The sequence below is a fragment of the Homo sapiens genome, chromosome 2 (genome assembly GCF_000001405.40).
Source record: "Homo sapiens chromosome 2, GRCh38.p14 Primary Assembly".
In the NCBI taxonomy this organism is placed as follows: Eukaryota; Metazoa; Chordata; class Mammalia; order Primates; family Hominidae; genus Homo; species Homo sapiens.
In genome coordinates, this window is record NC_000002.12 from 17626410 (window position 1) to 17649703 (window position 23294).

At 46.0% G+C, this 23294-nt stretch overlaps 1 protein-coding gene and 1 long non-coding RNA gene across 6 annotated transcripts in view, besides 1 other annotated feature; one reads left to right on the forward strand and one right to left on the reverse strand.

Moving 5' to 3' along the window:
* Positions 1-23294, forward strand: part of VSNL1 (visinin like 1) — a 117047-nt gene that overhangs the window by 86438 nt on the left and 7315 nt on the right. For 4 of the 5 annotated variants that reach the window (NM_001366803.2, NM_001366804.2, NM_003385.5 and 1 more), the window contains exon 3: positions 23001-23216. The exons of the other annotated variant lie outside the window; for it this stretch is intronic. In NM_001366803.2, coding sequence (NP_001353732.1) covers positions 23001-23216 — 216 coding nt within the window. The remainder of the gene's footprint in view (positions 1-23000; positions 23217-23294) is intronic. 5 annotated transcript variants of the gene reach the window in all.
* Positions 1040-23061, reverse strand: LOC124908054 (uncharacterized). Its single transcript, XR_007088658.1, has 2 exons — positions 16680-23061; positions 1040-1263 (listed from the first exon to the last, which is right to left on the reverse strand). It is a non-coding gene; the product is annotated as an uncharacterized LOC124908054 (long non-coding RNA).
* Positions 17788-18575: an enhancer, noted in NCBI's record as "H3K27ac-H3K4me1 hESC enhancer chr2:17825464-17826251 (GRCh37/hg19 assembly coordinates)". NCBI's record gives its function as "activates a minimal SCP1, AML or CMV promoter by ChIP-STARR-seq in naive H9 embryonic stem cells {active_cell/tissue: H9 hESC(naive)}" and the evidence as "EXISTENCE:reporter gene assay evidence [ECO:0000049][PMID:30033119]".

A 23294-nucleotide genomic window follows, 5' to 3' on the forward strand; every position in this document is an offset into this window, starting at 1 on the left:
CATCTGGCCTCAGTGCCCAGAGCCTCGGTGCACAGGGGCCACTAAGCGAAGTCCTAAGCGACAGCCAGTCAGGGAGCAAAATGCCCATTTCCTGCCATTCTCATAGATGAACTCTTTTGGAACCACCAGGGGAAGCACTCCCCAACCCTTCCCACCCACCCTGCCCCTGTGTCTGCAGAGGAGCAAAGAGAACATTGTCTCTAAGCTGGCCTGGGAGATGATGGTTGGATGCAAGAGTGATTCTTAAAGGTACACCTTTATTAGACCCTATCAACTTATGGCTGACCCCAACTGCCAGCAGCTCTCTGAAGTTAGAATGAAGTGCTTACTACCTTTTATTTTCAGTTTGGAGCATTGTCCACAATTCTAGGACAAAGGAAAAATCTGTCACTGGGTAGAAGCCTCACTAAGATACTCAGAAGAGGCTCTGGGAATATTCAATGATGAAGAACTGCGGCTCTCAGATGCCAGCCCCACTCCAGCCTGGCCTGACCATGGCCATAGCCTGCTGGGTGCAGCTTGTCTGCTGCACAGACTCTGGGTGGGGTTGCCCCAAGAAGGCTTTTTAACAGCAATCAAAGCAATAAAGGACTATTTTGTCTAAAATCTGTTCCTGGACTATCCCAGCAGTTTCACCCTCATTTCAACACCACATCCAAACAGCTTCAGGACCTAAATGCAAATCCACGCCAAGGAGACACCACATACCCCCATCTCACCACATCACAGCCCGTGGCTGCCTCAGGGCCCTGGAGGAGGTAAGATAAGCAACCCTCAAACAATCCTAGTTCATTTGCATGCATAGCAATCTGTCATTGCTTCTAGGGCTTACTCATTTATTCATCCTTTCAATGAAGCACCTATCTTGTGCCCCCTCTGTGTTTTCAGGTACACAAAGATAGATAAAAGATGACCTTTTCACCTTGGTAGTTTGCCCAATCTGTAACCGCCCAAGGGGTTCACCTTGCCCACTGCCTAGACAGAGGCGATTTATCAAGACACGGGAATTGCAATAGCAAAAGTGTAATACACACAGAGGTGTCTATGCAGGAGATGAGTTTTATTATTACTCAAATCAGTCTCTCTGAAAACCTGGGGATCAGAGTTTTTAAGGATAATTTGGTGGGTAGGGGTCCAGTGAATCGGGAATGTTGATTGGTTAGCTCAGGGATGAAGTCACAGGGAGTTGAAGCCGTTGTCTTGTGCTGAGTCAGTTCCTGTGTTGGGGCCACAGAACTGGTTGGCAGGTCCAGGTGGGGCCATCTGTTGTTAGAAATGCAAAAATCTGAAAAGACATCTCAAAAAGCAGATCTTAGGTTCACAATAGTGATGTTACCTTCAAGAGTGATTGAGGAAGTTGCAAATTTTATGACCTCCAAAATAATGATTGGTAATATTTCAAATTCCAGCCCCTCTCATCTTGATTTGGTGGCTGGTGACCTTTCATTTGCTTTACAAGAATAGCTTTTTGGGAAGGGCTATTATATAACTATACACTAAATTCCTTTCCAAAGCTAGTTCGGCCTATGCCCAGGAATGAACAAGGACAGTATAGAGGTTAGAAGCAAGATGGGGTCAGTTAGGTCTGATATCTTTCACTGTTATAATTTTCTCAGTTACGATTTTTGCAAAGGCAGCTTCACATCTAGCAAGGTAGACACAGACACATGGCCAGAAAAAATAACACAATAGTGTAAGTATCTTAATAGAAGTACAAATAAAAGGTTAAGAAGCTCAAATCCAGGCTGGAGATTGTAGCCAGCAGGAGCAAAGGCATAATAGAGTGTGAGTTATTGAGGACAGCAGTCCATCTTGGCTCTTTCTGGATTCACCTGGGTCTGGCACATATTGGATATCTAACAGTTGTTAAATTGACCTAGCATTGGAGGCAGAGGAGTGTGAAGAATTTGAATAAAAACAAATAATTTTTTCTGTCTGATATATAGTGTAGGGAGGAGGGAGTGCATGATAAAAGCTCAGGACCTAATTTTGAAGGTCCTTGAATGCCCAGCTGAGGAGTCTACACTGTTTCCACTAGGTACCGAGGGGCAGGAAACAGAGAAGAGTGACATTGTGGTTTTTTTAAGGCCTTATTAGGCCACTGGATTGTGGTTTAAGTCCAGAGTTGTGGGTGAGTTATTTTGTACCAGGGAGAAAGATTTGTGAGGACTGCAGTAATCTGAGCATTCAGATGTGGTTTCCAAGTTGTTAGAATACCTCCCTCTAAATGGTGTTAGAGAAATTCAAAGTCCCACAGCACCTTAGGCAGGCTGCCCACATCTGAGATATAAGGGAGGTCTTACTCTGTACATGTAAGTCCTTGAGTTTAAAAGGGCCACAGGGAGGCTGGGTCCTGGCCTGAGCTCAGCCACCTGCCTGTTCTGTAGCCCCTGCTGGGATCTTCAGGGAGGCAGGGCTCCAAGGAGGCTCTGCTCTCTGCATTTAGTTGCTGAAGAGCACAGCTCTTCTCTGAGGTGATCTCATTCTCTCCTCTGCCCCACCTGCTTTGATTCCTGCCTCCCACATAGTTACCAAGCCTTAGGTCTCTCTGTGCTTCAAAACTCCTCACTCTAGTGGCACAAAGAGAATGCCTGCCTTCAACACAGGGCTCAGAGCCAAGGCAAAGCTTCAGAAGCCCAGCCACAGCTAAATCGCCTGTCTCTGCATCTTCCTTGGGTGTCTGTCCCACCTGGCCCTTCTGGGCACCCAGCCTGGGGCTCTGGAGCTGTCTCCACCCACACCCAGACTGAGTTTTCAGGGCTGTTATAAGGTCCCTTAAGGCTCAGGGTTGTTTAGTTGAAGGGCTCAAAGGCAGACACATCTGAGATCCAATCCCAGAGCATTAGCTCCAAGACCTTGAGGCAGGTGACCAAACCATATGCCCCTTCCGTGTTACGTAGGGCAACACTAGCCACTTCACAGGGTTGGTGAGAAAATGCAATGAGAAGCTTCTATGAAGCAACTATCCTAGGAGGTGCCCCCATATCAGCAGTCCTTCACTTAACTCATGAAAGGTCTTTCCTGCCACCCCTACTGAGATCTAAGCTATAGCAATTTCTCCAGAGAAAGACAGTTTTGTTCCTGGGGCAGGATTGTTCTAAATCCCCTCTCTGTGTAAGCCCTTCTGAGTTCAGTGGACTTGACTTACTTGGCAATGGTTTCCAACTGCCACTGGTGATGCAGAATTTTTCTCAGCCACTTTGCCAACCAGGGAACTCCATGGCCAGCAATACCCCCTGCCATGCCTGGGCCTTGCTTGGCCCCAGGCCTGCTGGAGGCACCTCGTCCACTCGGCCTGCTGTGTTATAGATTGTACCCGCATTCAACAATTCCTGAGCTCTTGTCCCTCATCCAAGAAGAATAAGGTTACACTGACAATTAGAAGGGTAAGGATGGGCAGAGAAGAATTTTATTGAGCAATGAAACAGCTCTCAGCTGAGAGGGGACACGGTGGGGTGGTCCCCCACCCCCACAGTCAGGTGATTTCTCTCTCAGTGTGGCTGGGTCCCAGGCTTTTTATGGACTCGGAATGGCGAGTGCATGCAGATTGGTTTGTGAGTATGCAAAAACAGGTTAAAGTGAAGACAACACCCAAAGGTGGGCACGATAGTGTAGAAAAACAATTAGGAAAGGATAGGTAAATGTAAAATAGGTGAAGGGTGGGGCTTAATCACAAGCAAGCAAGCCAAACGAGAAAATAGATTCTCAATCTCGTCCGTGTATTTTACTTGTAGCTTGGATTTCGGGCTTTCAACTGTCTTTGCCTTGTCTTCTAGTAATTAAGTATGTACCTTGGAGGTAGGGTTTCACCATGGACCCACCTCATCTGCCTAGGCATTTGGCTGCCTCCTGCCACTGTCACTGGAATTTTAGCCCAGAGTGCCCTCTTGAGTCATTCCCTCAGGCTCAATGCCCTTACTCCAAAGCTGCAGGGCTTGCAGCTCTGTGAGAAAGGGAGGTGGCAGTTCACACTGCAGAAGCCTCATCAGTTGAGAGACATAAATAAGCAAGTGGATGTTCCTTGTTCTTGAATAGGAAGACTCAGTGCTGCAAAGATGCCAGCTCTCCCTAATGAATGTAGCAGCTCAAAGCTATCTCAATCAAAATCTCATCACAGTTTGCTTTGTTTCATTGTTTTGCCACTTGATCTAATTATTTTAAAGTTCCTCTGGAAGAGTATATTTTCAATAATAAAAGAAGAAGAGAGAAGATGATAACTTCCACATATTAAAATATTTTATAAGCTTGCAATAATTAAGATACTATGCCGTTAACAGAGGAATAAATTGACAACCAAATAAAGAAATAATAACTAGTTCAAACATATCAAACATACACCCGCATATATGGGGCAAAACGGCATTTTATTTTTTTTTAATTTATTTTTTTCAAGACAGAGCCTTGCTCTGTTGCCCAGGCTGGAGTGCAGTGGCACGATCTTGGCTCACTGCAACCTCCGCCTCCTGGGTTCAAGCAATTCTCCTGCCTCAGCCTCCTGAGTAGCTGGGATTATAGGCACACAACACCACGCCTGGCTAATTTTTGTATTCTTAGTAGAAACGGAGTTTCACCATGTTGGCCAGGCTGATCTCGAACTCTTGACCTCGTGATCTGCCCGACTTGGCCTCCCAAAGTGCTGGGATTACAGGCGTGAGCCACTGTGCGCAGCCCAAAATGGCATTTTAAATCAGAAAGGAAAAAATGGACTTTTCATTAAATCTTATAACAATTGTCTAGCCATTATATTCACAAATTAAATGTGAATATTCAAAGGTAAATGAGAGAGAGAGGAAAGTATTAGAAGAAAACATAGGGAAATATTCTGAATCTCGGTGTGGGGATGGACTTTCAAAATGACACCAAAACCAAACACCATTTAGGAAAATTCTGATGCCTTGATCATATAAAAATCTAAACTTTTGCACAGGAAAAAAAAAGCAACTTGTATATGATTTTTCCAAAGGATATAAAAAAGATAGTGAACCTCACTAGAAATCAGAGAAATGCAAAAATGGTTGGATAATATTGTATCATTGTTCTGGTATCAGAGGCAATGTAAAGGGTGCATCACACATTAGCACTCTGGTTAACTATTGGATGGTGGTTTGACAATATGGGTCACAAGTAAGATTTGTGTATTCCTTCACCCATAGTCCATGTTTAGGAGATAACCAGATCAATTTTATAAATAAAACACTTTAAGGTATTAATAACAGTGAAGACGTTTTAAACCATTGTCAGAGTCTCTAGATTTGATTAAATAAATTATAGAACATTCATATAATGGAATATTAATCAGCCACTAAAAAGGGGGTCATATATTTAAAGCCAGTGACCTAAAAGGTTTTCATGACGTAGCACCAAATGAATAAATCTAGAGTTATAAATATACATGCGTGTATGTGTAAACATGAAGAATGCAGAACCATACACAGGTACATACTTAATGACTAGAATGAAGGTAAGGTTTGTTGTTGTTGTTGTTGTTGTTTTCCGAGATGTAGTCTCGCTCTGTCACTGAGGCTGGAGTGCAGTGGCATGATCTCAGCTCTCTACAGCCTCCGCCTCCCGGGTTCAAGTAATTCTCCTTCCTCAGCCTCCCACGTAGCTGGGACTACAGGCCCATGCCACCATGCCTGGCTAATTTTTGTATTTTTAGTAGAGACGGTTTTTCACCATGTTGGCCAGGCTGGTCTCGAACTCCTCACCTTAACTGTTCCACCCACAGGGATTACAGGCGTGAGCCACCACACCTGGCCAGGTAAGGTTTTTTGTATGATTCACTGCTGTATCCCCAGTGTGAGAAACTTTGTCAGTGTTCAATAAATACACATTGAATCAATGAACTCCTAGAACAATGGTCATTGTTTTTTTTTGTTTTTGTTTTTGATTTTGTTTGTTTGTTTGCTTTGAGATGGAGTCTTGCTGTCGCCCAGGCTGGAGTGCAGTGGCGCAATCTCAGCTCAGTGCAACCTCTGCCTCCCGGGTTCAAGTGATTCTCCTGACTCAGCCTCCCAAGTAGCTGGGATTACAGGCATGCATCACCACACCCAGCTAATTTTTGTATTTTTAGTAGAGATGGAGTTTCACCATGTTGGTTAGGCTGGTTTCGAACTTCTGACCTCGTGATCTGCCCACCTTGGCCTCCAAAAGTGCTGGGATTACAGGCATGAGCCACTGTGCCTGGCCAAACAATGATCACTCTTAATAATAACTCTGAGTGGTAGGTTTTCGGCTAATTATTCCTTTATTTGTGTTTTAAATTTTTTCTTCGTAAATGTGTACTATCTATAGAGTAAGAAAAAAGCATTGCTATTTTCATTAAAGTGCCTTAAAAAATAGACACAGCATATTTCCTTCAGTTATACATTGAATAAATCACCCTTTGGAGAAGAACTATGAAATGCAGAAATAAGCATTAAAAATACTTCTTGGATGATTTGGTATTAAAAGTAAGAAAAGCACCGGGTGCAGTGACTCATGCCTATAATTCTAGCCCTTTGGGAAGCCAAGGCAGGCAGATCACTTGAAGCTGGGAGTTCAAGACCACTCTGACCAATATGGTGAAACCCTGTTTCTTAGTCTGTTCTCATGATGTTAATAAAGACATACCTGAGGCTGGGTAATTTACAAATGAAAGAGGTTTAATTGACTCACAGTGCCACATGGCTAAGGAGGTCTCACAATCGTGGCTGAAGGCGAATGAGGAGCAAAGTCATGTCTTACATGGCATCAGGTGAGAGAGCTTGTACAGGGGAACTCCCCTTTATAAAACCATCAGATCTCGTGAGGCTTATTCACTATCATGAGAACAGTGTGGGAATGACCCTCCCACTGGGTCCCTCCCAGGACACATAGGAATTATGGGAGCTACAATTCAAGATGAGATCTGGGTGGAGACACAGCCAAACCATATCACCCCATCTTTACTAAAAATACAAAAAAAAAAAAAAAAAAAAAAAAGCTGGGCATGGTGGTGAGTGCCTGTAATCCTAGCTACTCTGGAGGCTGAGGCACAAGAATTGCTTGAACCTGAGAGGCAGAGGTTGCAGGGAGCCGAGATTACACCACTGCACTCCAGCCTGGGTGACAGAGTGAGACTCTGTCTCAGAAAGAAAAAAAAAAAATTAAAAGTAAGAGCCGAATGTGATGGATCTAGCAGAGGCCACCTTCACCTATCGAGTTAGTCAGGAAATACTTATTGAATATCCATTGTGTTCCAGGCACTAAGAATACAGACATGAGTCAGGAGTGACCCTTCCCTGGAGGATGTCAGAGCAGAGTTGGGGGCAGGCATAAAACAGCTCGTGACAAGACAAGGCCCAAGTGACCCTGTGCATCGATACAGGGTATTGTCATTGCTCAGAGGGGAAGCCCTTAACTCAGCTTAGGCAGGGGAGAGAGTTGGAATATGGGGTGGAAAGGAAAGAGCAGGCTGAGAAGACAAGGGGCTCAGAGAAGTGCCCCTTGAGCTGAGTGATAAAGGACTAACAGGAGCTAGCAAGAAGTGAAGGGGCAAGAGAAAAGCATGGGCAAAGCATGCAAAAGCACTCTGGAAAGATTTCCCATGGATCGGCACCAGCTTGGAGTGTCTGAGGAGGTGAGGGTGGTGGAGAAATGAAGCTGGAGAGGTTTGCAGGACCCAAGTCGAAAAGGGCCTTGTGGGACTGGACTAAGCAGAGTGGCTTTCATCCTGGAGTGTGGGGGAGAAGGTGGAGGAGGGCATCAAAGAGCGTGCAGTAGAGAGGTTAAGGCCTAGACTTGCAGATGCGCTCACTCATTGTAACAGCAGTGTGCAGGCGAGAATCAGGGCTGGCAGGTGCCCAGGGCCCTGTGCTCAGAAGGACCCCACACTTGGCTTACTGCTCTGCTGCTGCCATCTTGATTCTTAATAATTTTTAAAGAGGAAGCCCTACATTTTCCTTTTGCACTGAGCCCTGCAAATTATGTAAGAGGTCCTGGCAAGACTTGAGGCAAAGTTTGTTATGCAGTTGACCAGGAGAGAAGGCAATAGGAACTTCTGTCCCTTTCCATCTCAGCCTTTGCATTTAGCGGTCTTCTCAACACGTGTCCAGGGAAGAAGCAAGAAATAAAAAGGCAATGTGTGACATTTCCCAAGGTGCAGACAATGCCCTGCGATGTGTTTGTTGTACAAATGAGGCTGAGGCAAAGCTTAGCTGTGCCCCTTCCCGTCCCCTGACACCCTCATCTCTCCTCTGAGATCAGCAAAGTAAGAATGAGCCTCTCAGGTCGTAGTAGGGTGAGGAGGAAAACAGGTATTTTTGTATGTTCGTTTTTTGTTTTGCTGAGATCACAACTGCCAAAGAAGAGAAAATGGTTAGCTCATTCCCATAGTCACACAGTTCCATCCCACCCACTTCGTGCTCTGGTGCTGCTTCCACTTTCTCCTGGAACCCCTCAAACCCCAGCCAGAGCCTCCTTGTCCCATGGGTCCCGCTGCAGGGAGTTACTGCTCCTGCTTGGTTCTGACTCACGGTCAGGCTCTAACTGGCAGCTCGACCCCTAGCTCGTTTGAACACACATACACACGTACACACACATACATGTGCACATACATACATACACACTTGGCTCAGGGCACATGAGGGTTTGTTTTTGTCACCATGAGGTTTTCCTTCCACACATCTCAGGGTGCACCAGCTGCTTAGCAACAAGCTGTTGGGCAGAAGTGGGAATTAAATATCTCCCTGGTTGCTGCAAACACAGGTGCCAAAAAGGAGGAGGAGAAGGGTCCGCCAGAGGGACTGGGCTGAAGGACAGGGGTGTGTGTCTCCTAGACGAATGCTCGGAGATGGAACACTCAGGGCTCTGGTCCTGTGCCAGGAATCTCAGAGGCCTGCTGGGAATGGTGCTCCAGAAAATAGAATCCTGACAGCAAGCTGTGGGCGGTGGGGAATCTGCAGGGATGGCTGATGACAGGTGGAAGGCAAAATGTAAGAATTCCTAAATCTCTGCTGAGGGGACTTGCCTTAGCAAGATCTGGGTTCAGGTCATCATCGTGGCCACCCTAAAATCTTCCATCCTGGCTTGTGGTTCTTGCTTTTGGAGTTTAAGCTCAAAAGCTCCTTCTCCTAGGAGTTCTACCTCTCATGTAGCGTCGAGGCAAAGAATATTAGCACCAGGATTCTGCAGTTGGATTTTCTAGGTTCACAATTTAGCTCCTGCCGTTGACTTTGTGATCTTGAGAAAGTTATTTTGAAGGTCTGTGCCACAGTTTTCTCATCTATGAGCCCCACCTCAGAGGACTGTTGTGAGAATTACATTAAAACAGGTAAAAGGACTTTTTGTAATGTCATCTCCAAAACAGACATCCACAATGCTGAGGACAGAAGGAAGCAAAGTAAGCTACCTTTTTAAAAGTGTCTCCCATGTGCCTGACACTGTACAAAATGCCATTTACTCATGGGATTTATCTTTTCACACCCATGGAAACTGAGGCTTACAAGCAAAGTGCCCTACTCAAGGCCATGCTTCAGCAATGGGCCAGAGTTTGACATGGTCACTGTGGCTCTGTAGCCCTCACTCATTCCTCAAGCCAAACTGCCTCCACTATTGCTTTTCAGAGAAAGGGGAAAAATTACTAATTTATCTGGCATGGGGTGGGGGCGGGTGTCAGGATTTGGTGGAAAGAGCTCTTCCCCAGAGTAACATTTTAGAATTATGATATGAAGCCAGTATAATTACCATAGCACTCCCTGGCATATGGTACCTGAGATGGGGAAATAGTAAGCCAGGGTCTTGGGAAAATGAAAGATGTCATCAAGGTACAAAGGCAATAGACACCTAGATTTGGAGTGAAAACATGGATTCCACCAAGCTCCAAGCAAGCAGAAGGCCTCATCTCTCTGGCCACACTCACTGGCCTAGAAGACTGGGGAGTCCAAGGGCAGGAAAAGGCTGCAGCCTGTGCTCAGAGGCTTATGGTTTTCCAGGATAACACACAAACCCCTGCTTCCTTGACCAGTGGATGCTCACACCATGACATGCACATATTCCCGAAGATCTTTTATGGCAACAGCTCATACACGCCCTTTCACACTGTCTGCACTGCTGAGAGCTGCAGGGTTCAGTATGGTAGCCACGGGCTGCATGTGGTTTTGAGCACTTAGAATATGGCTAGCAGGAATTGAGATGTGCTGTGAGTAATGACACATGTACCTGCTTCAAAGACTTAGTCCAAAAAGTCAAATATCTCACTGATAACTTTAATAGTGATTACATGTTGAATGAATGATGTAATTTCGATGTGTTTTGAATATAATGGGTTCAATGGAATCTATTATTAAAAACTATTTTTTTTTTTTACCTTTGTAATATGGCTATTAGAAAAATTCCAATTCCTTATGTGATTGGCATTTGTGGCTCATGATATCTTTTTATTGGACAGGGCTGCTCTCAAAGGTACTCACAGTAGGCTTTGTGTTTGGAGAGTGCTTTAGCAGTCACAAAACATTGGCCTCTCTTTATGACAGAATCACAGAAAGCCAGACCTGGAACAAGTACCCTTAAGCTGTTTTGTTCAATCTCCTGATTTACAGGCAGAGAAACTGAGGCATTGAGAGGAGAAATGATTCCAGTGTTCCAGGTGCCATCCATAGGCTGTCGCCCACCCGGATCTAGTCCTTGCTGCCTCCACCCTCTAGAGCTGGCTGTCCGGTTCCTTCCGGCCCCTCTTGCCCAGCTCTTCCCCTCCCTTCCCCTTCCCACAGGGAAGGCTGGGAGAACTCTCCCAGTGGAGGCATCTTTATTCATGAACCTGGCCCAGGGGAGCCCGGAGAGCCTGTCTGAAGGCTGCTCTGTGCTTTCCCTGCAGACTCAGAGAGATAAATATGGAAATGTGCGAGAAGAGCTTCCCCATCAAGACTAAGGGCTGCTATGACATCTAATACATACACCAGGAGGGGTGGAGGAGGCAGCTCCAGGGCTGCAGCCGGCAGAGTCTCCTCAGCCCCAGCTGGGCCCTTGCTCCCCCTTAGGCAGGCTTGGCTGACCCCTGGACATCTGCCCAGGCTGGGCTTTGTTTCTGTTTCCCACAGCACCTCCTGTACGCTGCCCCCACAACACCACAAAACTGCACAGGTGCTGGCCCATCTCCAGCTACCATCCAGCCCCCAACCCCACCCCAGGATGCCTCCCCTGACTTCTCCAACCTGCCTGGGCTTCCTCCTTCAAATCCCAAGTGCCTGGAGGCTACACTCTTGCTTTCTGAGGACCCATTAGCAGCTTCTGCATCAGAGAGTGTGCGCTATGCAAACCCCAGCCTCAACCCAAACCTGCTGAAGCAGAATTTGCATTTTCATGAGATCCCCAGGAGATCTGCTCTGGCCCACACCAGTGAGAGCAGGGCACTGTGTCTGGTTTATACTGTGCCCACTGCAGTGCCTTGCACAGCACTGGGCTCCTGGTAAATATTCCAACCACAGACAGAATGACCTTTGCTGAGTCCTTGAGGTTGACGCAGCACTTTCCCGGACGTGGTCTCACATAACTCCCCCACGGCCCTGGATAATGCTGAGCGGTCAAGTCAAGACTCTCTAAGCAACTTGGACTATGGGGGTTTTGGAAGAGGTGCTGGCCCCACGTGCTCAGTTTCTTTGCTGCCTCTGTCTCACTAGAATGCATGCAGATGTGATACTAGTAGTAGAATTGAGATGTTGCCCTCTTGGGGGTCTGTGTTCCTGTATTAGGTAGATGAGAGGTATGTAGAGTCTATACAGCCCCAAGGCCAAATTGCCTGAGTTCAAATTCTGCCACTAACTAAGTATGTGACCCTGGGCAGGTTACATAATATCCATATGCCTCTGTGTACTCATCCATGTAATAGGGACAGCAGTGGAACCTACTTCATAGGATTGTTGGCGGATTACACAATTCAATATGGGTAATGTGCTTACATAGTGCCTGACACATAGTAAGTGTTACAAAGTTTAATTAAACCAGTGTCTTTTTTCAAGTGTAATGTTGAAGACTTTGCAGATTTAGAACCACAGGAGTTGGTAGAACTCCTAGGGCTCAGAGGGAGCCAACTCCCTCGTTGCACACAAGAGGAAACAGGCCCAGATGGTTGAATCCCTCTCCCAGCATCTCACAGCCAGTAAGTGGCATGATTGGAACCTGGACTCATGCACACTGAGCCTGCTCCTCCTTCCCACGCCCTACAGGACACGATTAGAAAGTAGAGCGAGTTCCAGACCTGGCGCTGGAGTCCAAGCTGCCCACACAGGTGTGAGCGCCTGCTCTTCATTCTCAGTAGGATGGGAGGAACCTACTAGCAAACTCTCCAGAGATTTCCCCTCTGCCCTGAGATCTAGTCTCTAAGTTGGTCCTTCTTGACCGCTGAGGCAAGAATCAGGTCACATTAGCTGCAGTTACTCCTTAGGGAAAGGAATAATCAAGGAGTTGGGGTTTGGGAGGAGAGAGCAGCATAGGAGGGCCCCTTCCCAGGGGAGTATTTTGCCAGCTCCCCGTTATCCCTCAAATGCTCTGCAGTGAGGATAAGGAAGTGAGAGGTCTCTGATGCCCTGGTGTGGCCATCCTTTTGTGTGGGTTTTATGTTCTTGCTCTTTGTGCCCATGAGTTCTGACTCTTGTTGCATCTTGTGGCAATTCCAAATAAGCCCTCCCAGATTCCCGCAGGGATCTAGTCTTTCTATTCTTTTGCTAAGGGGCTGGTGGGGTGAAGGGATCTATTGCCCCAGTTGCCCTTCAGGGGAGAGGGAGGCCTTTAACTCCTCATAACATCTCATGTTGCAAAATGCATTGCTTCGATGGAAATATTGGTTTTGAGCAAATTTGGACTCCAGATGACCAAGGTTCTGTTTGGGTTTGACGGTAATAAAAGGAAGATACAGGTATACCAGGATGCATCCTACACATCCTGCAAGGTGAAATCCACCTTCCTCTCACTGGTTGTCTCAGCCGCCTTGGCTGGGTTTGCACTGCTCATTAACATTGGGTGTGCCTCTCTCTGCCTCCCTAACCACATGCAGATCCTGGCCTCAGTGTCTGCCTTTCTGCATCTCTCTGAGCACCTTGCCTAGTATCTGCCACATATGGTGCACATAGTGGATGATGATTGACTGATCACTCAATATATTGTTTTCTATAAAAGAATGAAAGAAGATCATTTCCTCTTCTGGTCATTTCCTTTAAAGAATATATGTACTCTTTAAATGTTCCTTAGTTTTCGTATTATTGGCTCATACACAGAACACAGCCTTGCTGAAACTAAAATAATAACAACAATAATAATAGCATCTTTCATCGGCTGAATACCTATTATGAGCCCAACACTGTGTGCACATCATGTGTGTGCTTTACACACATCATCCTAATCCTCACAGCTTTGCTACCAGGGTCATCCAAAGAAGGGAAGCCCAATGCCCCTAGGCACACTACTGTTCAATAGTGGAAGAACTGGAACCCAATACCGGGCATTCTGACTCTGTTCCAATGTCCTCCCCATTAAATCCCAAAGGTCCCAGCCCAGCAGCCAATTCTCCTCTATCCTGTCCCATTTTTTGTATGAAGAAACTAAGGCTGGGTGTGTTGGCTTGCACCTGTAATCCCAGCACTTTTGGGAGGCCAAGGCGGGAAGATCACTTGAGGTCAGGAGTTTGAGACCAGCCTGGTAAACACGGTGAAACCCGGTCTCTACTAAAAATACAAAAATTAGCTGGGCGCAGTGGCACATGCCTGTAATCCCAGCTACTCAGGAGGCTGAGGGAGGAGAATCGCTTGAACCTGGGAGGCAGAGGAAGTTACAGTGAGCCAAGATCGTGCCATTGCACTCTGGCCTGGGCAACAGAGCGAGACTCTGTTTCAAAAAAAAAAAAAAAAAGAAAGAAAAGAAAAGAAACTAAAGCTTTGAAAAGATTAAAAATCCTTTGCCCGAGACCAGGTCCCACATGTAGTGAACTGCAGAACTGATATTCAATCCCAGACCCATCCAACCCCAAAGCTCACACTCTCCACCACAGCATAGCATCCTTACTTCTCTACATGATGCATTTCCTTTGTTTGTTTCTTAGTCTGCAACCAGATCTTATCCTATAACTGTGGTGGCAGAGATGGGATCATGTGGGGCTCATATAATTTGGGGAGAAGTTAAAGATATTGCAGTAACGCAGGACAGGAATACATTTAGGAGAACATGTTAGAGTTGGTAGGAAGCTTCCTCTCCTCCAGAAAACAGAAGCCCCACCTTCTTAGGCAATGATCCTGAACTTGTTCATTTCTGACAAATGTGTTCCACTTCTTTTTTTTTCTTTTATTTTTATTGACACATAACAATTGTACGTATTTGTGGGATACAGATGATATTTTGATACCTGTAAATAATGTGTAATGATCAAATCAGGGTAATTAGCATATTCATTTCCTCATTTATCCCTGTGTTGGGAACATTCAAAATCCTCTCTTTTAGCTATTTGAAATATACAATAAATTATGGTTAACAATACTCACCCTCCAGTGCCATAGAACACTAGAACTTATTCCTCCTATCTAGCTGTAATTTTGTATCAAATGTGTTCAACTTCTGCAGATAGAACATGCCTGGCTCTGGCTGCCATTGCTGTCACCAGCTGTGCTATAATAGCTCTCTCCCCACGATTCCAGACCTGGTGGCCAATGGCATTCCAGTAGGGTTCTAATTGAGATGCAGCCAGGCTCAGTGTTCTCATCATTGTCACCATGACGCTGTGAAATGAGTTGGGTGCAGGGTGAAATGAGAATCGATCTTGGATAGACCACTTTATTCTGGAGGAGGTAGGGAGATCAAATAAGTTTTAGAACCAGTTGTGAAATCTGCTGTTCTACCCACTTCAGTTGGAGCGAGTGAAGACAGTACGAAGGGAGTGGTCTCATTCTAGCTTTCCCCACAGCAACCAAGCTACTACCAAGCACCTTCAAAGATCCTCACCACTTGCCTAGTTTCAAATTCAGTGCCATTTAAAATTAATAAAAACAATCTTTCCAGTCTAGCAGACTGGCTCTAAATGGAAACTCACCACAATTTCCAAAGTGTAATTTGTTATTGACATCCTAGTTTCATAACAAAGAGTAATAGGTTGGTGGTTCAATATTTACCAGGAAGAGAAGTACTAGAATAATCCCCTACCCAAAATCAAAATGCCATTGACCCGATTTATAGTGCAAATGGTGTATTAGACAGAAATAAAAAGAGACTTCATTTGATTTTAAAGTCTGAGTAATCAGTAAGTACCCTTCAGGGTCTGTGACATTTCCAATGGAGATAGAAATAGGGATAGAGAGACCAGAGATAGATACTTAAACTTACTTATAGGTACAGAGATGGAAATAGAGAAACAGATATGATCTAGATGTAGTTGTATAGACATAGACTTATGCATAGACATAGGGATAGAGATAGAAATATGAGAAAGGGAGAAAGAGAAGAGAGAGATTCACCCTTCGAAGTTTGATCCTGTAATTAGGACATTAGATACAAAGGGAATGGTAGGTGCTTTGGTCAATGACAAATCCAAAGTCATGAAAGTAACATCCCTTCTTTTTTAAAAATTTTACTTCCAGAATCAGAAAAACTAAATAAAATATTATAGCTAAATGAAATGTTGAAGCTTATCTGATTTATCCGTCATTTTATATCCAGGGAAACGAAAGTCCCAAGAGACAAGATGACGTGACCTTAGTCACACCCAGATACTCTGTCACTCAACCAGCATCTTTTCCTCTGCAGTAAATTGCTTCCTTTACCCATCCGAATATAGTAGCACTTATAAAGCACCTACAGCATACCAGAGCCTTATTCGAGAGCAGTAAGGATACAATGAAGAACAAAATATAATTTCATCCTTAACATAGAGATGATTCTGGCTTTTCCCATGGTGAGCATTCCTTTTTTTTTTTTTTTTTGAGACAGAGTCTAGCTCTGTTGCCCAGGCTGGAGTGCAGTGGCGCTATCTTGGCTCACTGCAAGCTCCGCCTCCCAGCTTCACACCATCCTCCTGCCTCAGCCTCCAGAGTAGCTGGGACTACAGGTACCCGCCACCATGCCCAGCTAATTTTTTGTATATTTAGTAGAGACAGGGTTTCACCGTGTTAGCCAGGATGGTCTCGATCTCTTGACCTTGTGATCTGCCCGCCTCAGCCTCCCAAAGTGCTGGGATTACAGGCATGAGCCACTGCGCCCAGCCGGTGAGCATTCTAATGTGAAGGAGATCTGGAAGGTAAGGAGGTTGGATTTCTACTGCCTCATTCTCATTTTTTATAAAAAAGCAGAACTTCTCTGGGAGTTCATGACCTTTCTGGGGCAGTCTGTGTAAACAGAGAGATCTGGCCTAAGACATAAGTGAAAATTGCTTATCTTGTCCCGGGAGGCGAAAGCCCCTTCTCTAGAAATTTAGTTCAAGAGTAATTTTATTCTCAAATAGATGTAATTATACGAGAATCACAGGCTAATAATGGCTACCTTTTGTAATAAAGACTGTAATGTTGAAGAAGCAGTGATGATAGAAAATGGAAGTTGTCACCCAGAGGACAAGGGATGGGGCAGCTCTGAGAAGCAACCTTAGGATCTGTGAGAACCCTTTGAGGGTGGGGGTGGGCGAGGGTGTCCTTAACCTCCTTCTGGAGAGCCTACATGTGGAAGGAGCTCATGTGTCAGGCTGCACCTACCTTTGGCTTATCACATCTGCTTGAGGGCAGAGACCAGACCTTCTATCTTCTTATGCGTGGTTGCCTCTCCTCACTCTCCCTCCTGCCCTCACAAAGCTCAGCATGGAGCCCAGCACCAGTTGGGCTTCTGTGAGTATCTGTTGAATGAAAACTTTGGCAGAAAACAGTTTTTGGACTCACCATTTCTAATTAAGGGAAAATGTCTCTCGTCTTCCCATCCATGTGACTAAAGTGCAAGTGCTGCTCTGGGCTGATTCATCTCCTCATGAGTCATCTGCTTAAGTAGTAATGCGAATGGGCTTGCAGGCCAAGTGGTGAGCCTTCTGCAGCACAGCCGGCTTCAGGCAGCTTCCAGAGCACATTTCAACCCTTCTACTGGTCAGTGGGTAGATTTGCCCTGTCTCTCAAGGCCTCGAAACGATCTGTTTGCTGAGTCACTTGTTCATTTAGCAGACATTTACTGAGCACCTACTGTGTGCCTGGCCCTGTACCAGGCACCAGAGATTACAGCAATGGCAAAACCAGGTCATTCTCGGCCCCGTTTAGCTTACAGTCTACTAGGGAAAAAGGGCACGAATCCACAATCCTGTGAACATTTCTTCACAATTGTAACAAATGTTCCCTACAGTGACATGCATGTGTGTAACAGGGGTCTGACCCAGACCAAATCAAGGTTTAAAGAAGGAACAGGGGTTCACTGGGCCAAGGTCAGCAAAGGAACTTTCAGACCACAGCAGCAGCACGGCAATGGTCCCATGACTGTGGCAGGGGAGGGAGAGCCAGCAAGGCCCCAGGGAGTGAAAGCGGCCCCGGGACAAGGGAGCCGGGGGACCAGAAGCTGGACACAGAGGTGGGGACCAGACACAGAAAGGTCTCTGAGGCCTGGAAACAGTCTCGTTCCTTCTTCTGAGAACAATTAGATGCTATTGTCGGGTGTGGGAAGGAAACTTGACCAAACATGGGTGTGCAAATTTCCCCTGGAGCTGTGGTGACGATGGATGGAAGGGCCTCAGTGTAGGGAAAGTTAGGAAGCAATGAATGTACCACTACAATGGGGTCCTATTCCTGGGGGAGGCCTCATGGATGTGAAGAGCTGAAAGCCAAAACCAAATATCAAATGACCTCTCAAAGGCATATGGTCAGCATCTAAGGGCACATGAGACCCCAACACTAACCTTCTGCCCATCGGCAGGAGGTCTGCTGGAAAGGCCCGACCACCCCACGTGAAGGCCTCAGCCCCCAGGACAAGGAGTTAGAGGTGAGCTCATCTGAACAGCTCCTGTCCTTGGTGGTTCCCACAGAAGGTAGACAAGCCCAGTAGGCCTAAAGCAAAGAGCAGCCTGACAGTGCACGAGGGGCCCCTTAGGGAGCCTCTGAGATACAGTGTAGCCAAGGAAGGTCAAGACCCCGGAAGAGACAGGCCGAGGGTCTGTCTGCAGGGCTGGTGTGGGAGGAGAAGGAGACTGCAGTTGGTGCTGGGAAGAGCCAAGGCTTTGACTCAGATGGCACTGAGTTTGATCCTCCTGCACCCCTTAGTGATGTGACCTCATGCCAGTTACTTACCCCAGAAAAATGACCCTCCTGCAAGTCCTACCCTTGCTGAAAGAATCAGCTGGGGTGGCCTGTGAGAAGGACCTGCTTAGAGCCTTGTTCCACGAGACACACTCATGAAACAATAACTACTGTCTCAGTAGCAGGGCCTGAAGAGGTAGGTACAAGACCAGGTCATCCAGAACAGGCTAGAAGCCACTAGCTAATTCCAGCAGGGTAAGGGGAGATAACCTTGGAGGTTGAGCAACTGTATTTCAGGGTGATTGTATTTGTATATTCATAGGCCAGGCAAAATAGGCCTTTGAAATTTGAGAACAAAAGAAACAAAACTGACCCAAGTGAGGGTGTTTTAAAAGCAACTATGTCTTCTGCGGGATTGGATGGCAGACCTCTCCAAGACTGTGAGCAGCGGAGCAGTCCAAGAATACTCTTCTGGTTTTTTGAAGCCCTATTTCCTATCAAGAGCTCTATTTCCAGCAGACTAATGGGCAGAAATCTATTCTGAGGTCTGAGGGCTGCCCAGTGTTAGCCAGGAGCTGGGCCTTGGGCAGAGCCCTGGAGAGAGGCATCCTCCGAAGTAGCCTTGCTGCCACCCCTCCTGACACAGCACATCAGCTGTTGCATGGGCAGGGGTGAGTCCTGGCCAAGGCCTTGCTTGTGCCCACCCCACCCCCACCCAAAGGTTGGGCTGGAGAACTTCTTGGGGAGCTGCCTCCTCCATCACATTGAGGCAGTGAACCAGGGATCTTTGGAGGGGAGAGATTCATGTGGGAAATGCTGCAATATTTTCTCTGGAAGGATAAGCTATCCAGGCAGCAATGGTGCTGGGGAGGGCTGGGATAGGGGTGCAGAGGAAATGTGTCACTGGAGAGAGGCACAGTGTTTGTAGATCATCACTCAGCCTTTCTGTGCCCACGCTGGGTGGGGCCCTGGAGGCCCAGAGGCTAATGTGTCTGGTTCTCATGCACCACCTCTTAGAGGAAACAAACATTTTGATATTCACAACTAGATAGATTACTGAAAAGAAAGAAATGCAGAGTGGGGCCCACTGTCTGTAGAAAAAGCTCCTGCCCTGGCCAGGAGGAAGCTGGTTAAACCATGCAAAGACTCCTGTTGTCTGCCTGGGGAAAGAAAAGACCTCAAGTGTTTCCTGGGGTTTTCTTCTGCAGGTTGTTCGGTTCAGGGACAGGGTATGGAGTACAACCGGGAGCAGTCAAGGTCTGTGTAATCCCAAGAAGTCTCAGACTCTGAAACTCTAGGCTATGATGAAGAACAATGAATTGTCAGCAGCCTGTATATTAGGATGGGGGGAAAGGACCACATGCGAATATTTTAAAGCTTCAAACTGACAATATCATGTCCATTACTTTTGTTTGCAGCTCCATACACTTGTAATTTATCACAGTAAAATTTTATACTTCTTTATATGGTGGTTTGATTAATGCCTATTTTCCCCCACTCCTTAATGCTCTATGTCTTTCTTCTATTTTATTGCCAGCACCTAACACTGTCCTTGACACATAGCAGCTGCTCTCAATGTTGAGTTAAAGAATGAGTCAGAAAATAACTCAGTTAGAATCTCAGTAATTTCCTTGCAGTACATATGTGCTGCCAGAAGGTGGCGAAAATACTCAGAGCAGAGAATTTCAAGCTTCAGAGGCAATGGATGCTAAGAATTACATAATGCAACACATTTGGTTGCTTCATCAAATGTGGAGTTAAGTTTATTTCCTCGGCTAACACTTGATTAAGATAAATCTCAAGGTGTGGCAGAAACGGTCAGACAGATTTGCATTCAAATCCAGCCTCTGCTGCAGACAGCCAGGAATCTTAGGCAAATGCCTTTGACCTTTCTAGGCTTCCACTTCCTCATCCACAAAATGGAAAGTACAATGTCAGATTTTGTTATGAAAATTAAGTGAGAGAACACTAATACACATACACACACACATATACATATACATATGAGTGTGTATATACATTTTTAATTTTTCAACCTCAAAGTTCTTTGTATCTGTCATATTATTTATAGATTATTACTGCCATCGAATATTACTTCCATGTCAAAATTTAATACAAGAATTGAAACAAAATACATTGAGTTAAAAAGAAATTGAACAAGAGTACGCAAAAAAAGAAAAATACTGTGCTTTTCAGGCCCTGTTGTCCTCCAGGAGAAGTAAATCTGAGTTCAAGACCCTGAATTCTTCCTAAGAAATTGAAGGGAATGCAGCTTCATTTCTCTGTGATGATCCATCTAGAGTTGAATTATTTTGTCAAAATAAGGAGCATGTCCCTAGTTAGAAAAACTCAAAGCACTCAGAACATGATAGGATAAATTTCCTAAAGGAAACAACCCCTCCAGAAATTTGAAGGCTCTTGAGCACACACTCAGTTCTAAAGTAAACATGTTGGTTGTAAAAGTCAGTATATAGACCTTCTGCAAGACACATGTAACTTTTATAGCTCAAAATTTACAATTGATTTTTCTCTCAAGGTTTTTTAGACCTAAATTAATTTTTAATATACTGACCCAAGGTGCCCAGTTATTTTTAGATAAAACTGTCAACTATCCCTTAACCTAAAAGTAGGCTGTGAGACATAAGATAGTTAAAGCATTACAGTGCCAGAAACCTACACGAATGGAGGTTTCGTGCCCACTGGTCTCATGCCAACTGCACATAGAAATGCTGGCGGGTAAACAGCACTAAGGGGACTTGGGAACCTGTCCAGGGGCTCGCTCTGCTCCACTCCAAGTCAGTTCACAGGTGCCAGCCCCACCCAGGCCCCTAATCACAAGGCAGATGAACACATCAGCCAAAGTACCCTCTAGAAAGGGACCAGGACCACTCATGCATAAGGCACAGGAGGAGCAAACTTGCCTATTTAGAAGTTTTCAGATTCAACATTGTTTAGTTCAAAACTCAGCGCCTGGCAGCCTGTCCTCAGGTACCAAGCACCTAAGTAGCATTGGGGGGTGAGGGGCTGGGGTCATGCTGAGCTGTTCAAAGAAGAAGGAAAGTCCTTCCCTCTACAACTCCCTCCTTGAAACTAACAGCTCATTTACTGAGCTTTAGTAATACTTTGCCCTCTCCTCTGTTCTAGTTCTTATCAAGTAACATGACCAAGTCAATTTTGAGTAAAGTCCCCCCATTAACTGTGCAGTCTCGGAACACAGAGACCTCGAGGTATTGCTCTCTGAGTCCATAGCACCCAAGACGAGGCCCGACATGAATAAGAACGCAGTGAATTCTGACGAATAATGAAAAATGAAGGATAAGAGAAGTGAAAGATATGTTTAGGGAATGAGGGAACATAAGAGAACATTGTCCTTTGTAACCAGGAAAAGATATGTTTGATGAAAAAAAGAAATGGGTCTCAAATGTTTATTTCGTGAGATAATAAAATGATTGTTGTCATTTTAAGCCACTAGCTTTTGGGGTGATTTGTTATATAGGAATAGTCTCTGGAACAGATCATTGTGCCTAGCAATGGGTACTACCAAAATATAAGTAATGGGTACTTTCCTTCTCCTGGAATGCTTGGCTGTTCCCTGGGCCCCATGTATAGAATCCTTCTGTGTTAAAGCATATCTTATGTCTGGAGGGAAATTTTCTACCTTCCAATGTGCTTCTAGGTGCAGGAGGAGTGGGCAGCAGAGCTCTGCAGGACCCAGGTCAGGATGCACAGTGAGAAAGACGGACCGAGGGCTCCTCGAGGTAGATAGCCCAGAGTGGGCAAAGAGGCCATCTGTATGAAGGCTGCTCACCTGGTCCACTTAGCAGGTGCAAAACTTACGAAGGAAAAGGGATATCAATGAGCAACCTCAGTAATCTTCTATAGACCTTGTAGTGCTTGCCTATAGAGCCCAGAACCCAGATTTATTCATCCAGAAATACATACGTAACTTCTCTGCTTTAAAATAGCACATGGTTTGTTTTTGGTTGTATTTGGGGCTTTGCAGTTCTTCCTTGTTAATTATCAGAACTACCTGCTGTTTGTGACTGGCCTAGGCTTATGTCCAAGGGGACTGAGGCCACCACCTACTGATTCCCCATGGCCTTCCCTCCTTGTGGTCTATGCTTCCCTTTCCTCCTTGTGTCCATTCTCTGCCTCCCACACACCCCTGGTGACAGTTGGCTCTGTGAAGAAACCTCTTTATGTCTCTCAAAAATAAGCCCAGTCATGTTCTATTTTTAATGAGTTTTAAATGTCTGTTCTGCAAAAGAAAAGTCCCTGCAAAAAGAAGTTAGAAACTGGAACCTCACCCAGGGAGGGGATAAGTGTGGGCCCAGGACGAGGGCTGGTGGCAGGAGAAACCAGGTCTGGGCACCCTCCCTCTGGCCCTACTGGGCAGCGATGAAGCCAGATTCTCATATCTAGAGGAACATTGAAGTTCGTGTAGCACCACCTGTGTGGGGAGAGAAACTGCTGTCTGCCTCAGTCCTGTTCCTGGGGGGAGTGAGCTGAGATGCTGCAACACTAGCATCAGGTGGTGCTTGTTGACCGATTCCAAGCCCCATCAACTGAAAGCCACATGTCACCAGCCTCACCCACAGGAAACAATGAGATGCCTGTACCTGAGCACCTGCTGTGAGAAAGCCTCCCCTAATGCCTGCCCTTGCCCTTGACAGTCAGGCCAAACTGCTCTCCAATGGGTGAGGCTCCGACAACGCCCAGGAGCACCTGTGATGCCGTCATTAGGAACCTACCTCGTCGCCCCGATTCCATCCCCTCCCGACACCTGACTGCGCGTGTTCTCCTTTGCAGTTCTTTCCTTATGGAGACGCCTCCAAGTTTGCCCAGCATGCCTTCCGAACCTTCGACAAGAATGGGGACGGCACCATTGACTTCCGAGAGTTCATCTGCGCTCTGTCCATCACCTCCAGGGGCAGCTTTGAGCAGAAGCTGAACTGGGCCTTCAATATGTATGACCTGGATGGTGATGGCAAGATCACCCGAGTGGAGATGCTGGAGATCATCGAGGTGAGGCCCGGGGTGTGGTTGGCGGGTGGTGGGCACAGAAGGAGACCCCACGGCAGCCTCCTAGGTGCAGGCCTTAGT